The 18,076-nt window shown below is 35.9% G+C and overlaps 1 annotated feature.

The window, feature by feature from the left end:
* Positions 15,448-16,647: an enhancer, noted in NCBI's record as "MED14-independent group 3 enhancer chr9:31670767-31671966 (GRCh37/hg19 assembly coordinates)". NCBI's record gives its function as "activates an origin of replication core promoter dependent on BRD2, BRD4, P300/CBP and CDK7 cofactors, and independent of MED14, by STARR-seq in HCT116 cells {active_cell/tissue: HCT116}" and the evidence as "EXISTENCE:reporter gene assay evidence [ECO:0000049][PMID:35650434]".

Genomic DNA, 18,076 nt, shown 5'->3' on the forward strand with positions numbered 1-18,076 from the left:
ACTTACATCAACTACCAAAAAAACTGATTTTGGATAAAGAATAGTATTCTTCTTAATCACAAATAATTATCCTAGAAACGTGTATCAGAATATATCCAAACCGTCTGATTTAATAGAACTATCCCTTAAGACCTTTTATATCTAGGTTTAAAACGTACCTTAATTTTTATTCACCAATATAATCTCTATTCATGCAATTTTTAGAACTCATTAAAAGCAAACAACCTTGATAAACTCAAAAAAGAGAGAAATATAATCCCAGAGCCTCATTATCAGTTTCAAGCCATATCACTTTTATGTTGGATTTCACATCAAACAAATACCTTAGGTGGCCAGAGACAGACTTCAGGTTGTGATGGCAAGATGAAAATTAGTTTAAGTCCATCAAGGCTTACATCAGGTACTAGGTTAGGAAGTTATTGGTTTGTCTTTTCTATTAAGGGGAGAAAGACCTTCGCTGACATAGACCTAAGGACCTAAGACACACATCCCTGTTTCATGCCCCTTTGGAAAGCTATAGGTCTCCTGTAAGAAAGGGCCCCTACCCTTCTTTCAGGGATAAGTTATTGCTTCTTCCTTGGAATACCAACAGCACCTGTCATTAAACATTTTATCATAGTCTGTTTTCATGGTTGTAGAACTGAGAAAGTCACTCAGGAGAAGGGCAGCTGGAAATGACACTGTGGGGTATCATGTGCCAGACGTTGCTCATGAAAGTGAATGTGGAGAAAAGCTGCGAATTTAGAACATTTTCTTCTGACTCCAAAACCTCTTCAGAATCTCTCCACTATATATTGTTTGTGTCATATGCCCAGATAGGTTTGTAAGCAGTTTGAGGTGAGGAATAAGGTTTTATATAGGTCTGTGCACCCAGCACTACCTATACAACTGTACTGACATATACTGTTCAACAGAGATTTAGCTATCAAAACAAAACCCATAGCTGTGTTGGCTATTTAGTTTTGGTATTTTCTTAATTTTTTTTTACATTTTAGAATAAGCTTGTCAATGTCCAAAATGTCCACTGGAAGTTTGACTGGTAGTGCCCTGAATTTCCAAATCAATCTGGAGATAGTTGACATCTTAATAATTTTGAGTCATCACAATCATGACCACAGTGGATTTCTATTTAGGATTTACTCTCAGCAGTTTTGTAATTTTCAATGCACAGGTTGCTCGTATCTTTTCTCTCAAATTTTAAGTTCCAGGATACATGGGCAGGAGGTGCAGGTTTCTTACATAGGTAAATGTGTGCCATGGTGGTTTGCTGCGCAAATTATCCCAGCACCCATGTATTAATCCCAGCATCCATTAGCTATTCTTCCCGATGCTCTCCCACCCCCCACCCCCAACATGCCCCAGTGTGTGCTGTTTCCCCCATGTATCCATGTGTTCTCATCATTCAGTTCCCACTTACAAGTGAGAACATGCGATGTTTGGTTTTCTGTTCCTTGGTTTGGAGGATTACAGCTTCCAGCTCCATCCATGTCTCTGCAAAGACCATGATCTTTTTCCTTTTTATGGCTGCATAGTTTTCCATGGTGTATATGTACCACATTTTCTTTAACCAGTTTATCAGTGCTGGGCATTTGGGTTGATTCCATGTGTTTGCTATTGTGAGTAGAGCTGCAATGAACATGTGTGTGCATGTATCTTTGTAATAAAATCATTTATATGTCTTTGGGTATATACCCAGTAATGGGATTGCTGGATCAAATGGTATTTCTGCTTCTAGATCTTTGAGGAATGACCACACTGTCTTCCAAGATGGTTGAACCAATTTGTACTCTGACCAACTATGTAAAAGCATTTCCTTTTCTCCACAACATCACCAGCATCTTTTATTTTTTTTATTTTTCATAGCAGCCATTCTGATTGGCATTTGATAATATCTCATTGTGATTTTTATTTGCATTTCTCTAATGATCAGTAATGTTGAGCTTTTTTCATGATTCTTGGCCACATGTATATCTTCTTTGGAGAAGTGTCAGTTCATGCCCTTTGCCCACTTTTTAATGTGGTTGTCTGTTACTTGTAAATTTGCTTAAGTTCCTTATAGACTGGATATTAGACCTTTATCAGATAGATTGCAAAAATTTTCTCCCACTCTGTAGGTTGTCTGTTCACTCTGGTGATAGTTTCATTTGCTGTGCAGAAGCTCCTTAGAGCCCATTTGTCAATTTTTGCTTCTGTTGCAGTTCCTTTTGGTGTTTTAGTCATCAAATCTTCGCCTGTGCCTATGCCCAGAGTGACATTGCCTAGAGTTTCTTCTAGGGTTTTGACAGTTTTGGGTTTTACACTTAAGTCTTTAATCCATCTTGGGTTAATTTTTGTATAAGGTGTAAGGAACTGGTGCAGTTTCAATTTTCTGCATATGGCTAGCCAGTTCTCCCAGCACCATTTATTAAATAGGAAATCCTTTCCCCATTGCTTGTTTTTGTTAGATTTGTTGAAGATCAGATGGTTGTAAGTGTGTGGTCTTATTTCTGAGTTCTCTATTCTGTTCCACTGGTCTATGTGTCTGTTTTTGTACCAGTACCATGTTGTTTTGGTTACTATATCCTTATAGCATAGTTTGAAGTCAGGTAGCATGATGCCTCCAGCTGTGTTATTTTTGCTCAAGATTGTCTTGGCTATTTGGGCTTCTATTAGTCCATTTTCATGCTGAGGATTAATACATATCTAAGATTAGGTAATTTACAAGGAAAAAGAGGTTTAATGGACTCACAGTTCTATGTGACTGGAGAGGCCTCACAATCATGGCAGAAGGCAAAAGGCACGTCTTACATGGCAGCAGTCAAGACAGAATGACAACCAAGTGAAAGAGGTTTCCCCTTATAAAATCATCAGATCTGGTGAGACTTCATCACTATCCTGAGAACAGTATGGAGGAAACCACCCCCATGATTCAATTATCTCCCACCGGACCCCTGCCACAACATGTGCGAATTATGGGAGCTACAATTCAAGATGAGACTTGGGTAGGAACACAGCCAAACCATATCAGGGCTGTTTTTGGTTCCATATGAATTTTAAAATAGTTTTTTCTAATCCTGTGGGAATGTCAATGGTAATTTAATGGGAATAGTATTGATCTATAAATTGCTTTGGGCAGTATGGCCATTTTAATATTGATTCTTCCTATCCATGAGCATGGGATGTTTTTCTACCTGTTTTGTGTCATCTCTGATTTCAATGAAGAGTGGTTTGTAATTCTTCATGAAGAGGTCCTTCACTTTCCTTATTAGTTGTATTTCTAGGTATTTTATGCTTTTTGTGGCAATTGTGAATGAGAGTTCATTCATGATTTGGCTCTCGGCTTGCCTGTTGTGGGTGTATAGGAATGCTAGCGATTTTTTCACATTAATTGTATTCTGAAACTTCACTGACGTTGCTTATCAGTTTAAGATGCTTTGGGTCTGAGACTATAGGGTTTTATAGATACAGTATAACAAACAAAGATGGTTTGACTTCCTCTCTTCCTATTTGAATATCTTTTATTTCTTTCTCTTGCCTGATTGCCATAGCCAGAAATTTAATACTATGTTGAATAGTAATGGTGAGAGTGGGAATCCTTGTCTTGTGTGAGTTTTCAAGGGGGAATGCTTCCAGCTTTTGCCCATTCAGTATGACATTGGCTGTGGGTTTGTCATATACGACTCTTATTATTCTGAAGTATGTTCCTTCAATACCTAGTTTATTGAGGGCCTTTAACATGAAGGAATGTTGAATTCTATTGAAGGCCTTTTCTGCATCTATTGGGTAATCATGTTGTTGTTGTCTTTAGTTCTGTTTATGTGAGGAATCACATGTAATGATTTGTGTATGTTGAACCAACCTTGCATCACCGGGATGAAGCCTACTTGATTGCAGTGGATAAGCTTTTTGAGGTGCTCTTGGATTCAATTTGCCAGTATCTTGCTGAGGATTTTTGCATCAATATTCATCAACAATATTGGCCTAACATTTTTGTTGTTGTTGTATTTCTGCCAGGTTTTGGTATCAGAATGATGCTGGCCTCATAAAATGAGTTAGAGAGGAGTCCCTCCTTCTGTAGTTTTTTTGGATAGTTTCAGTAGAAATGGTACTAGCTCTTCTTTGTAGCTCTGTTAGAATTCAGCTATGAATCCATCTGGTCCTGGGCTTCTTTTTTTTTTTTGGTTAATAGGCTATTTAATATTGCCTCAATTTCAGAGCTTGTTATTGGTCTAGTCAGGGATTCAGTTTCTTCTTGGTTCAGTCTTGGGAGGGTGTATGTGTCTAAGAATTTATCCATTTCTTCTAGATTTTCTAGTTTAAATGCAGAGAGCTGCATATGGTATTCTCTGTTGGTTGTTTGTATTGTAATATCCCCCTTACCATTTCTGATTGTGTTTATATGAATCTTTTTATTATTCTATTATTAGATAGTGATCTTATTTCTTTTCCAAAAAAAATAGTTCCTGGATTCATTAATTTTTGAAGGGTTTTTTGTCTCTATCTCCTTCATTTCAGCTCTGATTTTGGTTATTTGTCTTCGGCTAGCTTTTTGGGTTTGTTTGCTCTTAGTTCTCTAGTTCTTTTGGTTGTGATGATAGGGTGTCGATTTGAAACCTTTCTAACTTTTTTTTTGAGATCTTTTCCAGCGTTTTGATGTGGGCATTTAATGCTATAAATTTCCCCCTTAACACTGCTTTAGCTGTGTCCCAGATATTCTGGTACATTGTATCTTTGTTCTCAGTTGTAAAGTTTTTTTTGTTGTTGTTGTTTTCTTTTGTTTTTAGCCAGAGTCTCTCTTTTTTGCCCAGGCTGGAGTGCAGTGGTGTGATCTTGGCTCACTGCAACCTCTGCCTCCCAGGTTCCGGCAACTCTCCTGCCTCAGCCTCCTGAACAGCTGGGATTACAGGTGCACACCACCATGCCCAGATAATTTATGTATTTTTAGTAGAGATGGGGTTTCACCATGTTGGCCAGGCTGGTCGAACTCCTGACCTCAAGTGATCCACCCGCCTTGGCCTCCCAAAGCGGCAAAGAACTTCTTTATTTCTGCCTTACTCATTTATCTAGTTTTCAGACTTTCAATGACTTTCACTAGAGCTCAAAAAATTACTGAGTTTGTTGGCTTTAATACCATTATGCAAAGATTGTGTGACTGATTAGTATTGAATGTGATTGCCTATAGCTTTGCATTTGTACATGAGTCACTATGAGACAAACTACAGGTCCTCAAAATCAAGCTTTGTACTCTGGGCACATTAGACAGCATTGGTATATAAACATATTTCATAGCATCTTTCTGACAGAATGGGTTTTTTTAGTTGCAGAATTTTTGTATAATTCAGATATTTAGTAAGACTAACACAAGTTCACCAGTAATTATCTGCATATACACCTATATTTTGAGGCAAATCAATGATGAACAACTGGTATTTATTGAATATTTTTAATGTGGGAAATAGATTTCTATATCTTTTAGGAGCTTAAAGACTAGCCATTTCATCAAGATGAAATTAAATATGGCACTAAATACAGTGTTGTGTGGAAATTTGTCATCAATTCAACAGTAGAGTTAAAATTTGCAAGATGTAAACTAATGCTATCAATTTTGACCAATACTCCAAACCAGGAAATTAGAAGTCATCCTTGCTTCTCTTATTTAGTCACCAGATTTGGTAGGTTCTAACTCCCAAATAATTCCAAGATCTGTCTTTTCACATCTATCTCCATTGGCTTGATTTGGACCTATATTGCCTCTAATCTGAGTAGTTCCAAGAGCATCTGAAATATTATGTGTTCTATTCTAAATAACACAAAGTTTTTCATGGTTCTAGTCTCTTCATCTTGATTTTCTTTGCCCAGAGTTTCAAGGATAAACTCAATATCACTTGGTTGCTGTCGTCTGACCTGCCCCGAAGCCCAGGAAGAGTTGGCTATTATGTCACTTGTGTTTACATATCATTTAATATATTCTTGTTTTATAAGCACTTATCACATTGTATTATTTGTATTGTGCCTGTCTCTTCCAGAGGGCAACCATAAGGTTTATCACTTCTCTGAATTCAAAGAATGTGGTCAATGCTTGGTTCATAGCAGGCAGTCGATATTTAACGAAGTGAATTGAGTTCCAGGACTGTTAGTATCTTAAATGTCTCAGTTCACTCTATCCATCAGAAGTGAAGAACATGACTGGAACTGACATGCTGTGCTCTTGTCACTCACTTCCACTTCCATCCCCATCCAGAGATGTAAGTGCAAAGCTCTGTGAAATTAAAAAAAATCATAGACCAGAGATTTTAGAAGTATGGACCATTTGATTATTTTTAGCCCAACAACCTTTCCAGCCTGCTTTATAACAAGGTAGCTTTTCAGACAAATTAAAAAGAACAGAAAAAAAGTGTTAGTTAATTATTTCTGGAATAGAAAGCTGAAAGATACACTTTGTTAGTTTTCTTGGAAGATATTTTCCAAATTCTTATTTATGAAAAAACATTAAGAACTTTGATACATATTCCAAAATGTTTGCCATCGTCGCACATCTACTTACGTTATTTTGTTTCAGTTTACAAACATCTCTGATGCTAAAATACCTCTTTCAATATACAATTTAGGATTACAAACATGCTTCATTTTTCAAACTAATTTCTATACTCCAAGTACAAACTAAATTATTATGAAGTTTTAAAACACCACATCATTAATAGTATAAAATCTAAAGAAAAAACCTTTTTCATTGTTCAAGTATTTCATGAATATCTCAAATCCAACTTGAAAGCATTTTTTCACGTAGTACTATTTTATATGCATTTTAATTTCTTCTTTACTTTCCCTAATGATCCCATGAATGGTTGAACACAATTTGAGTTAACATCTTTGTTTTTAACATAATTCATTTGATTATGTGATGAAACTATTTCATTTATGTAATAAGGCTCCAATAAATATCTTTTACTTTGTACTTGCTTTTTAAATTATTTGGATTTTTTCCTTAAGTCAAATTCCCATAAATTAATTATTATATCAATGAATGAGAACATTTGCATGGCCCTTAACATATTATGCCACGTTTCTTGAAAAAAACTGTGCCTATTTATTCTGGCTCTCAAGAATGAATGTAAGCATATCATGTTCACCAGGCCCGTTTCTAGTGCTCTCCTAAAAAGAGCCTTCAACTTCTGAGCTTGTTGTGCCATTCCCAAAACTGCTCCTCCTGAGTACAGATTGGCAGGAGAAGAGACCCTGAGGGAACCTTCACTGTTACCACCATATCCCCCACTCTTGTTGTTGCCACCACTTTTGCCTGCTACAGGGCTGCAGCTTCATTAGGGGCAGACAGGGAAGGTTCAAAGAGCTCTATTCTCTAATGAACTCCCTTCCAAGTCCTCCAACCAGCATTTTTTTTTTTTGTCTGTGGTTTTTCAAAATCCAAGAGATATATATGACTAAGAAGATATGGAAGTCAAAACAAACAAGCAAATAGAACAAATTAAAGTAAAATAATTCTCCAAAGTATGGACATTCTTTGAGTTTTGATTATCTCTACCCAGTTCACCTACTCTTCTTTTAGAGGCCTCTTACAGTTGCTTTATGAATTTTGCCTTCCTTTTCTTCTACCTTTCATCAATGGGAAGGATAGAATGGAGTGCACTTATTCCTTCCTGACACTAGAACCTATCAATAAGTTTTTAATCAGGAGACTAAGAAAGTACACTTACTCCTTTGTCACTAGTTGATTTCAAAGATAGTGGCCTGGTGACAGTATATGTTTGGTTTTGAGCTAGTTTGATCCAGTGAATATGAGATTTACCATTGACTCATTTATCAGAAATACATTACATTGGAATTAAACCAGTTGGGCAGATTTAATTCTGTATTAAATTTGCTAGATATGAAACATATAAGCAGTTGTCTTTTTCTTTTCTTTTTTCTTTTCTTTCCTTTCCTTTTCTCCCCTCCCTCCCTCCTTCCCTCCTTTCCTTCCCTTCCCTTCCTTCCTTTCCTTTCCTTTCTTTCTTTCCTTCCTTTCCTTTCTTTCTACCTCCTCCTCGCTGCATATGGGAGCCTAGATTCATGGTTAACATTTCTTTTTCCTCTGTAAAGGACCTGAGAGTATTTCAGGATTTGCGAGACACAAAGTCTCTACTGCAACTACAGTATTCAACTCTACTGTTGTGGTGTAAAAGCAGGCGATGGACAATATTTAAATAAATGAGCTGGCCAAATTTGGCCAACAGGCTATAGTTTGTCAATCTGTGGCTAAGAATGATGAATTAACATATTTGATCTTCAGTATTCACCCAGTAGTAAGGTTGTTACAGTAAAAACCCACCATAACATTTTAAGTGGTTTAAAAAATGTTTGAGTAAAAATGTGTTTGGGGTTATTTAGAGGTTATTGATGCCCGATATGATACTGAAATACTAGTATGTGTGGGTCCAGGTTCTGAGATTTCTGAGAGCCAATTTCTTCTAATTACTTTATTTACATTTGCTTTTTTTATCTATGTTCTTCTAATGAACGCTTTACTAGAATTTAGGCCATGAATGAGAAGGCCTAAACCCTTTACTAGAATTTAGGCCATGAATGAGAAGGCATATATATATGCACCTAGGAGATAGATAGATATATATATAGATATAGATATATAGATATATATATATATGCACCTAGGAGATATATATATATATATATATATATATATATGCACCTAGGTAATCTGAAAAAAAAACTGGCTTTCAATTATATAGGTTAAAAATACTGGAAAATAACATTTAATTAGACTCAAATCAAGAGCTGCCAGATTCCACATTGAAATGCAACATTACTGAAAACAGAATTTTTGAAGGTTCTGTATTTATGAGTATTAGTAAGAAATTATTTCAGCTCCCCTTTTTAGTATAGCACTCCAGGCAAGAAATAGACTATCTTGGCTTTTAAATTCTTCACATGAAACAAAACTCTAAAACAGTTTTATTTTTGTAAAACATTCTTACAAAGTATGAACAACTACAGTTGACTGACTTAAGTTGAGAGGTTTCTGTATAAATAAATAGCACTCACAATTTTTGCATTCACAATTCAACATTGTCTAGCTCTGTTAAAATGATGTCATTTCACCATAGTTGTGTCACCCATGTTTCAGAAAACAGAGTTGTTGTCCTGTCCTTCAGACAGGACAGGACCAGAAGATACTGTAAGACAAACATAAATTCTGGAGTGAGAAGAATCTAAGGAAGAGGTAATAACCAAAGCCATAAAATGACATATGTTTTACTGGAGAAATGAGCAATACCTATGTGGCTACTCGTGCTACAAACTAAGCCACCCACAAACATTCAGCAGACAATTCCCTTTGAATAGTTATAATTCAAGAAACAGAAAGCTCTCTCTAAAAAATGTGCCAAGTATTTTTAATAGAGAATTCATAAAGAAATACGGTTGCTCAAGAAATGAATGATAAGAGGATCAAACATATAGAACAGGGCTGTATGAAAAGCAAAATTTGGCTTAAAGGAACGTAGGATGAAAATAAATGAAAAAATAAAAAACTATCAGAATGCCTCCAGAAGTTATAACAGATATGGGCTCTATCGCTTTTCTCCCAGGTGATAGTAGTTTATTTCCTTGCCCAAAATGTTTTTTCAAATCACATTTGCCACTACCCAGAGCAGTAGCATTACATAGCCACTAAGTTTCGCTTTCTTAAAAGAGATATGTTAAGAATATGAATGTAAACTATGCTGAGGAGCAGCTTACTGGCTTTATGGAATTCAGAGTAGCATAGGAGATGCCAACCCAGTATTCAGCTGGGCTTTTTAAAATAACACTACATATGCAACTTTAAGTATCATGAGTTCAAACTTATAAGATTGTGCGGAGGAAAGTGCTATTAATGTTAATAAAGACTGCATTGCCAGATGAAGTATTTCTCACCTGCACCTCATTTGCTTTGTTAGTCTATGTTCAATACAGCATTTTGGGAATCTGAGAGGCTAAATTAAAAAAGCAGGTGAAGAGAAGTTTACAGTTTGATTTGACTGATAATTTATGCTATCATGAATTTCTAGGTGTCACATTCTAGACTATCTTTCTTAAAATTCTCCATCTTGGTATTATTATAAAGAAGAAATGCAGAAGACTCAGTCACTATGCATATTATTGTCTCTTCAATGCCAAGGCACTCCTAACACTGGGCTTACCAGGGCCTACTGAGAGAAAGGGAACTTCAGGAAGGCCTTGGCTTCAGGGGTGAGGATTCCACCCAATTCCTGCATCATCTCCTTTCAAATTTCATTTAGTACGATTGGAATGTCTAGACAGATTTTTGGTTTGAGTGAAGCAAGCCTAACAAGAAGCTTTCTTTACTACTTAAGAGAAGTGTCATTTGGTTCCTTTCTCACAACATTTTAGAAAGATGCCAATGTCCCTGAAATGATGTTGAGTGCTAGAAAACCAGTTACCATAAAATGTTAGGGAAAGATGATAAAATATGTGTCCATCCAATCTCTACATTTATTTTAATTTTTGTATTTTACTTTTTGGACATTTTTATTTCTATTCTTGAGTTTTGTCATCTGTAAAATGAGGATAATAGTACCTCCTTCATTGAAATGACATAAGAATACAACCTAGAAAATATTACAACAGGAATAAACACAAGAACAGCTGAGGGAGTGATATAATAAACTTGCCTTGGAGAGCAGGGGTTGGCTACTATATATATGTACACACACAAACACACATAAATACACACATACCTATATATACATATATACCTATATATACACTCACACACTATATATATAAAATATGTATGTATATATGTGTGTATGTATATATGTACACATATACTTACATATACATACATATATATGTATATATACATACATATATATGTATATATACATACACACTAGGAAACATGAGCAGGACTTTATATAATAAAGGATAAAAGCAGTGCAGAAGGAAATGCATTACTGATACACTAAAATATAGCTAGAAAGGGACATGGATAAGTAATTCTGGAGGAATACAGGGTTATAGGCCATGATGCTAGAAAATCAATGTGGGGCACAATTGTGAAGTTTTTCATAGCCTTGCTAAGTAGTTTAACATTTGTGGTTTTCATGAGAAGCCATAAAATATATTTAATGAGCAGTAATATGAACAGCCCTAGGGTTACTTGATGACCTTCCAAAAGCACAACAGTTTTAGCAGAATAATGATGAAAACAAGCCATTTGTGTTGAAGCAAATCAGACCATAAAAAAATCAATTACAGATGGATTGTAGATCTAAATGTAAAGGATAAATAAAGCTTTTAGAAGAAAATATTAAATGTCTTCATGAACTGAAGTGAGCAAATATTTCTTGAAAGGGCATAAAAAACCATAACCGTAAGTGGAAATTTTGAAAAATTAACCTATTAAAATTAAGAACTCTTATTCATCAAAAGGGAACAATGAGAGTAGAAGACAAGTCACAAAGAAGAAACAATCAATATTTATATCTAGCCATATATCTACATCCAGAAAATATAAATAGCTCAACAAATCAATAAAATGCAGACAATTCGATAGAAAGTAGGCCAAAAATATGCGCATCTATGACCTAGAAATCATATTCACAGATATATACAATAAGAATGTGTACATCTGTTCACCAAAAGATATGTTGAAGAAAGTTTAAAATACAACTACTCGTAAAAATTCCAAACTGGAACTAACCAAATATCCATCAAAAAAAGGCTAAACTTTTCTACATATGTACAATGAAATCCTACACAGCAAGGAGAATGAACAGCTACATGTAGAGACACTATGGATAAATCTCACAAATATCACAAGTCAAGTCCTGTACACTGTGGTAGTCCAGGGTATTATGTTCTCACATGGAGTGTGAGAAGCCTAACACATAGAGTGCATTCTACCTGATTCCATTTCTATAAAGTGCAAACCCAGGTATATGGTGTTAAAAGTTAGCACAGTGGTTATTTTCCATTTGGGCCTCATGATTGAAAGGAGGAATGGTGACACTTCTAAGAGGCTGACGAAGTTCTGTCTTGTGATCTGGCACTGGTTACATTTTTTGTTCATGTTGGAATCCATAAAGTTTCACTTATGATTTGTGCACTTGTCTGTATGTATACTTGAATAGAAATAATGAAAATTACTAAAAAAATTCAGAGGGACTTCTACTTCCAACATCATGGCTAACTAAATATTTTGAAGAAAAGTCCTCCAAAGCAAATGCCAACACACTGGATAAATCACAATGACTACTTTTTAATGCATTGCTGAGCTCACAGTAAAGTACAGGAAATCTGCATGGGACAGATAAAAACATACGAGATGTGATACTTGAACTCTGAGCTGGTGCTATATTGAGGGCACACCTATCCTGGGGATTAAATCATGGCCCTGAACTACCACAGTTTACAAGACTTGACTAAATCAATCTCTCTCTCTCTCTCCCGACACCCCAACCTCCATGCCTCCCTTTCTCTCTCTCATTGATGAATCTTTGGGATAGAAAAGAAGTTAAAATCTGGGCTGGGCACGGTGGCTCAGGCCTGTAATCCCAGCACTTTGGGAGGCCGAGGTGGGTGGATCACCTGAGGTCAGGAGTTCGAGACCAGCCTGGCCAACCCAGTGAAACATTGTCTCTATTAAAAATACAAAAATTAGCTGGGCGTGGTGGTGGTCGCCTGTAACCCCAGCTACTCGGGAGGCTGAGGCAGGAGAATCACTTGAACCTGGGAGGCAGAGGTTGCAGTGAGCCAAGATCACACCATTGCACTCCAGCCTGGGCAACAGAATGAGTTCCCATAAAAAAAAAAAAAAAAAGAAAAGAAAAGAAAAGAAAAAGAAAAGAGAAGTAGTTAAAATCCAACTGATGAAATACAAGAAATTTTCTGTGGAAAATAAGTTGACTTTGACTGCTTTTCTGTCCCAATTTTCCCTAAAATATATATTCTCTTGCTCTTCTCATTTTCTGACAGAAAATGGGCTTGCCCTCAGCAATCTTGCAGCTAGAATTCAACCCACCATGTGTAGACACTCTTTTTTTCCCTAACACCATTTAAGGTACCAGATGCTCTTCTGTTTTACCGATAAAGCTACCTATAGATACCTTATGTTCATCTAATTCCAAAAGAAAATAATATTATAAAAGAGTTCTGAATTGGAACTCAGGAGGAAACAAAAAAGCACCTGGTACCCAACGTGTCCACTGATTCCATGGTGCCCTCAAGCGTCGCTCTTTAGGCCTCAGTAATTTCATCTGTCAAATTTAATGAGTGGACACTGGTTTTTCTAGGTATTATGTTCATCAGCTTTGGAGTCAGGCAAACAAGGAACTGCCCTGTACTATGTAAGTAAATTGATAGAAGCATCCACTGAAACCCCACGTAGACTTTGCAAAGATGAAGCGTATCTGTGTGCTTGAAATGGAAAGACCTTTATGATGTACTGTTAAGTAACAAAGAGCAGAGCAGTATGAATGGTAGTTTATTTATAAAAGAAACATAGTGTGAATACAAAAATATTATTAATAGAATATATCTGCAGGGATCTACATAAATCAAGTTTCCTCTGGATTAAAAAGAGGTAATACAATGTTTCTGTATTGATTAACATGTGGATACATAACTTTTATAATTTTATAATCACAAAATTTAGTTAATTTTTTTTCAATGGCAGGCACAAGGCTGTAGTTAAATAAAATTTGGTTACCTTTACCATGGTGAACAGTCTAAGGAGCTACTGATTTTTATTATTTTCCTAAAAACTAAAAATAAAAATATTTGAAATTAGTAGATCGTATGACAAGGTAATAATACATGTATTTAAAAGCAAATAAATTTTACAGTGAGTCTCATTTATTCAGGGATAGGTGGTGGTTAGGTATGAAATCAAGCTTGATCAGAAAAAGATTAGATAGAGATAGGAGAAGGACAAAGGATTTGGCCCTGTTGCCTTCTTAGGGAGAAGAAAGCTGACATAGGACTGGTAATAAATAGTACAGAGACGGAGCATGCCAAAGGACATTGTTAATGACATGTTCCTGATTACAGAAGCAATCAAATAAATGTCCTGGGTAGAAAGATGTAGAAGCTATGAAAAGGAATGATGCATTTCTAATACAGGGTCTCAGACTGCAATGGTGACAGGAAAGTAGGATTAAGTTACTCAAAACAAGGATTTTACTCTAATTGTCAAATTCGATTTAGGGTATGCAACATAAGGCATAGCAGTGAGGGAAAACATTTAGTGATGAGTTTTTCTGACCACTGAGGAACTATTTAATAGAATTCCATTTTTAGAGGCATATAGTCCAGGAAAAAAAACAGTTTTTCTAGTTATGAGATTGAATCAAATAATCGTCCTGTGCCCAGAGTGACATAACTCTAAAATGAGCCTTATTTCTCATAAGTGTCCCTGTTGCTAACTGCTCACAAATTCTATGCTGGTTTATTGAAGGACTCTTGTGTCAATGCTGTCACTTTTGTCCCTTTGGCTCTTCATGAAACTACCCATTTTAGCTCTTTTTAAAGAACGTTCTTTTTTTCTCAGGTTTATTAGATCTCTAATACCCATCAGTTCTTGAATTCCTATCATCCTTTTTTCTTAAACCATGGTTTAGAGGAATACAGAGAATATTTTCATAATGTTCAAGTAAAAAAAAAATCTTTCTCAGCCTGTCAGGAAACTAAATAACCTCAAAAAGATGAAATATGGCAAATGGTAACATAGGGTAAATGGTAACAAATGGTAACATATTCCTAACCATAACTAACTCCAAAACTCTGAGCGGTCAAAAGCAATCATAATCTCAAGAAAAATAAATGTCTTTATAAACAGCAAAAGATCCTACAAGAAAACATGGGCAAGAAAATGCCTCAGTAAATTAAACCAAGAATGTAGTTGAAAATCTGAAAAACAATGACATCAGAATATGGAGAAATGATCTAATAAAGTAATTTGAATTAAAATTATGCTGTTGTCAAATTTCTATAATGTGAGAATGAAAATTTTAGAAGTATACATTATTAAACATAATTGAATGGCAATTTGTTAATACTACATATCAAAATTAAGATGTAAAATCTTTTAATCAGAATTAAACCTTAAGTATCCTCAGGTATAACAAGGAGTAAACAACATCACTACCCAGCACCAGATTTGCATTAAGAGATGATACATTTAATGAAACCTTAGGAAGTAGTGAACCAAGTAAAGGCCAGCCAACGGGTGGCAGAGACTGCTAGTGAGCACCCATGTAAACCCGCATTTTTCTCTACATGTTAAAGCCTTCCTGGACAAAGACTGGGGCTATGTGGCTGTGTTTTAGCCAATTACATGTGGGCAAAAGTAATGTATGCTGTTTTTAAGCTTTACCTTAAGACATCTGCTCAGTCGTCCATTTTCTATCTACAGTGAACATGGAGTCCATATGCTGATAGCATCAAGCAATGAAAATAACTTGAATCCTTGGCTTGTTAGACAGTTCCCAAGGAGAGCCACCTAACCTGAAGTGACTGTGATGTCATCCAGAATAAGCCTTTATTCTATTAAGCTATTGAGTTTTTTAGATTTATTCGAAATGTATGCAATTGCTTAGAACAGTGCTTCTCAAACTTGAGTGGACATAAAAATTCTTCGGAGACCTTGTTAAAACCCAAGTTTCTGGGTGACTTCCTTAGAGATTTTGACTCAGTAGGTCTGAAGATGGTGAAATTGAGATTCTACATATGTAACCAACTCCTGGGTATTGATGCTGCCAGTCCACAGACCACACCAGACTAAATATTCTGAATAAAATACTGGGGGTGGAATTAGATAACAAAATGTGTATATAAAAATACGAGGTCTTGAGGTAGGATGGAAACTTAGGCTGACATGCACACGGAAATGAAGATGGGTGAGTGGAAAAAATTATTGTAAGCAAAAATGATGAGTCAAGATGATACAGAAAGTTCAAGCTGTGAACTTTGAGGTCAAATTGGCACCAAATCAAATTCCCAGAGCAAGCACGTGGCACTAGTTCAAAATTAGATGACCCACTAATATTTAATGGTATTGATGGAGTGCAGAATTTGTTCACAAATAGGACACATATGACTGCCAACACACCCACCTCCTGTACCTAGAGGTCTCCAGTACAAATTGAACGAATTCTGAAAACTCAGAGAACAAGACATTTGTTATCAAGTGTAAAAGCTGCAGTGTGAATGGGCATTTTGATAGACTACTCCTGTGTGAACAGCCTTCCCTCCGTCTATAAATTAAGGCTGGAAAACGAAGAGGGAATCAGAGTATAATTATCTTTGTAGTCACCAGAGGCCTCATGTAGAAGCAGTGGTATACTCAATGGCAATGTTCACAGTGGGTGGGAATCAGAGACACACAGATGGACCTTACCACTGAGTGTGAAGAAAGTGTGACCAAAGTTCCATTTCCAAAATGAAACCCTATATCCCAATCATAATGTATGGTAGAAGCCGTGTATGGTGATGTTCATGAGTGGGGCTTCTGGAGCCAGATGATCTGTGCTCCAGTCAATCCTAGTCTACCACTTGTTATCTTAGTGATCTAGGGGCAAGTTACATTTCTCCTATTCCTCAGTTTCCTCATTTACAGTACTGTTTGCTGAAAAAAAAAAAACTGTAAACTAGAGTTTGATAGAGAACTAGACACTAATTTTTTTAAAAGAATGAATTAACTATGTATATATTGATAAGAAAAACTCTCCAAAACAGGTTGACAACTATTGCCTGTAGGCCATATCTGGCTCACCACCTGTTTTTTAAATAAAGTTTTAGTGGAATACAGCTATGCTCATCCATCTATGTATTGTTTATGGCTACAGAAAGGAAGCCTAAAATATTTATTATCTGGCTATTCAGAAAAAAAGTTTGCTGAGCCCTGCTGTAAGGTATTAGGCTAAACAATAAAAGTAATGAACATCTTGTATTGTTTATGCCATTAATGTGGTAAAAAATACATGTATATGCAAATGTAAAGAATCTCTATGGATTCAGAAAGAAAAATGAAAAAATTATGATGTGCACTCTTCTCTCCCCTCTTTAGTATCTTTTGAATCTTTTGCCATGTAACACAAATTATATATACGTATAAAAAGCATTATGCATGCATAAACATTAATGTTCAGTTAAACACAGACATATACAGAAATAGCACAAGTGTTGTACAGCCAGATTAAACCATTTGATAGAAGTTCCATTTATCAGCAATTTGGCTATATTAAATTATGCAGGCAATTGATCTAACTGATCACTCTCACTGATTATTCTTACATTAGGAAAATTGATATTCAAAATCTTTCTATCTATAATAGAACTGCTTAGTTTTGCTACATCTTGAGTTTTAAAACCACCTTAAGAATTTCCAGTGTCATCTCTTCATTAATATTATTGTAAATTTGGAATACTGTTTTATAAATATTCTGTTCCTGATAACAACTTAGTTGATTCCCACTGTTCTAATAAAATACCTTAGACTTAGCAATTTATAAACAATAGAAATGTATTGCTTACCATTCTAGAGGCTGGGAAGTCCAAGATCAAGGCACCAATAAATTCAGTGTCTAATGAGGCTGCTCTCTGCTTCCCAGATGGCACCTTGCTGTTGTATCCTCACATGGTGAAAGGGGTGAATGCTGTGTCCTCTCATGGCAGAAGAGTTGAAAGGACAAGGCAGCTCTCTGAAGCCTCTTTTATAAGGGCATTAATCCCATTTATAAGGGTGGAGCCCTCATGGCCTAATCACTTCCCAAAGGCCCCACCTTTTAATACCATCAACTTGGGGTTAATGTTCCAACACATGAATTTTGGAGGGACATGTACATTCAAAAAATAGCAACCACTTTCTAAAATCTCTAAGTACTTCTATGTGCTGTCCCAATAACGCCAGGGAAAAAACTTGATCGTGGTGTTCTCAGTCCTTCTTCATGTCTAGTTCCTGAGCTACAAGTTCTGAAAAGACTGCTCCAAACCCATGTATGAGAAAGGCTTGACTGGCTATGTTGTAGTATAAACAACCCTGAAATTAATAACTTAACAATATTTATTTCTTGCTCAT

Source organism: Homo sapiens, chromosome 9 (genome assembly GCF_000001405.40).
Source record: "Homo sapiens chromosome 9, GRCh38.p14 Primary Assembly".
NCBI classification, from domain to species: domain Eukaryota; kingdom Metazoa; phylum Chordata; class Mammalia; order Primates; family Hominidae; genus Homo; species Homo sapiens.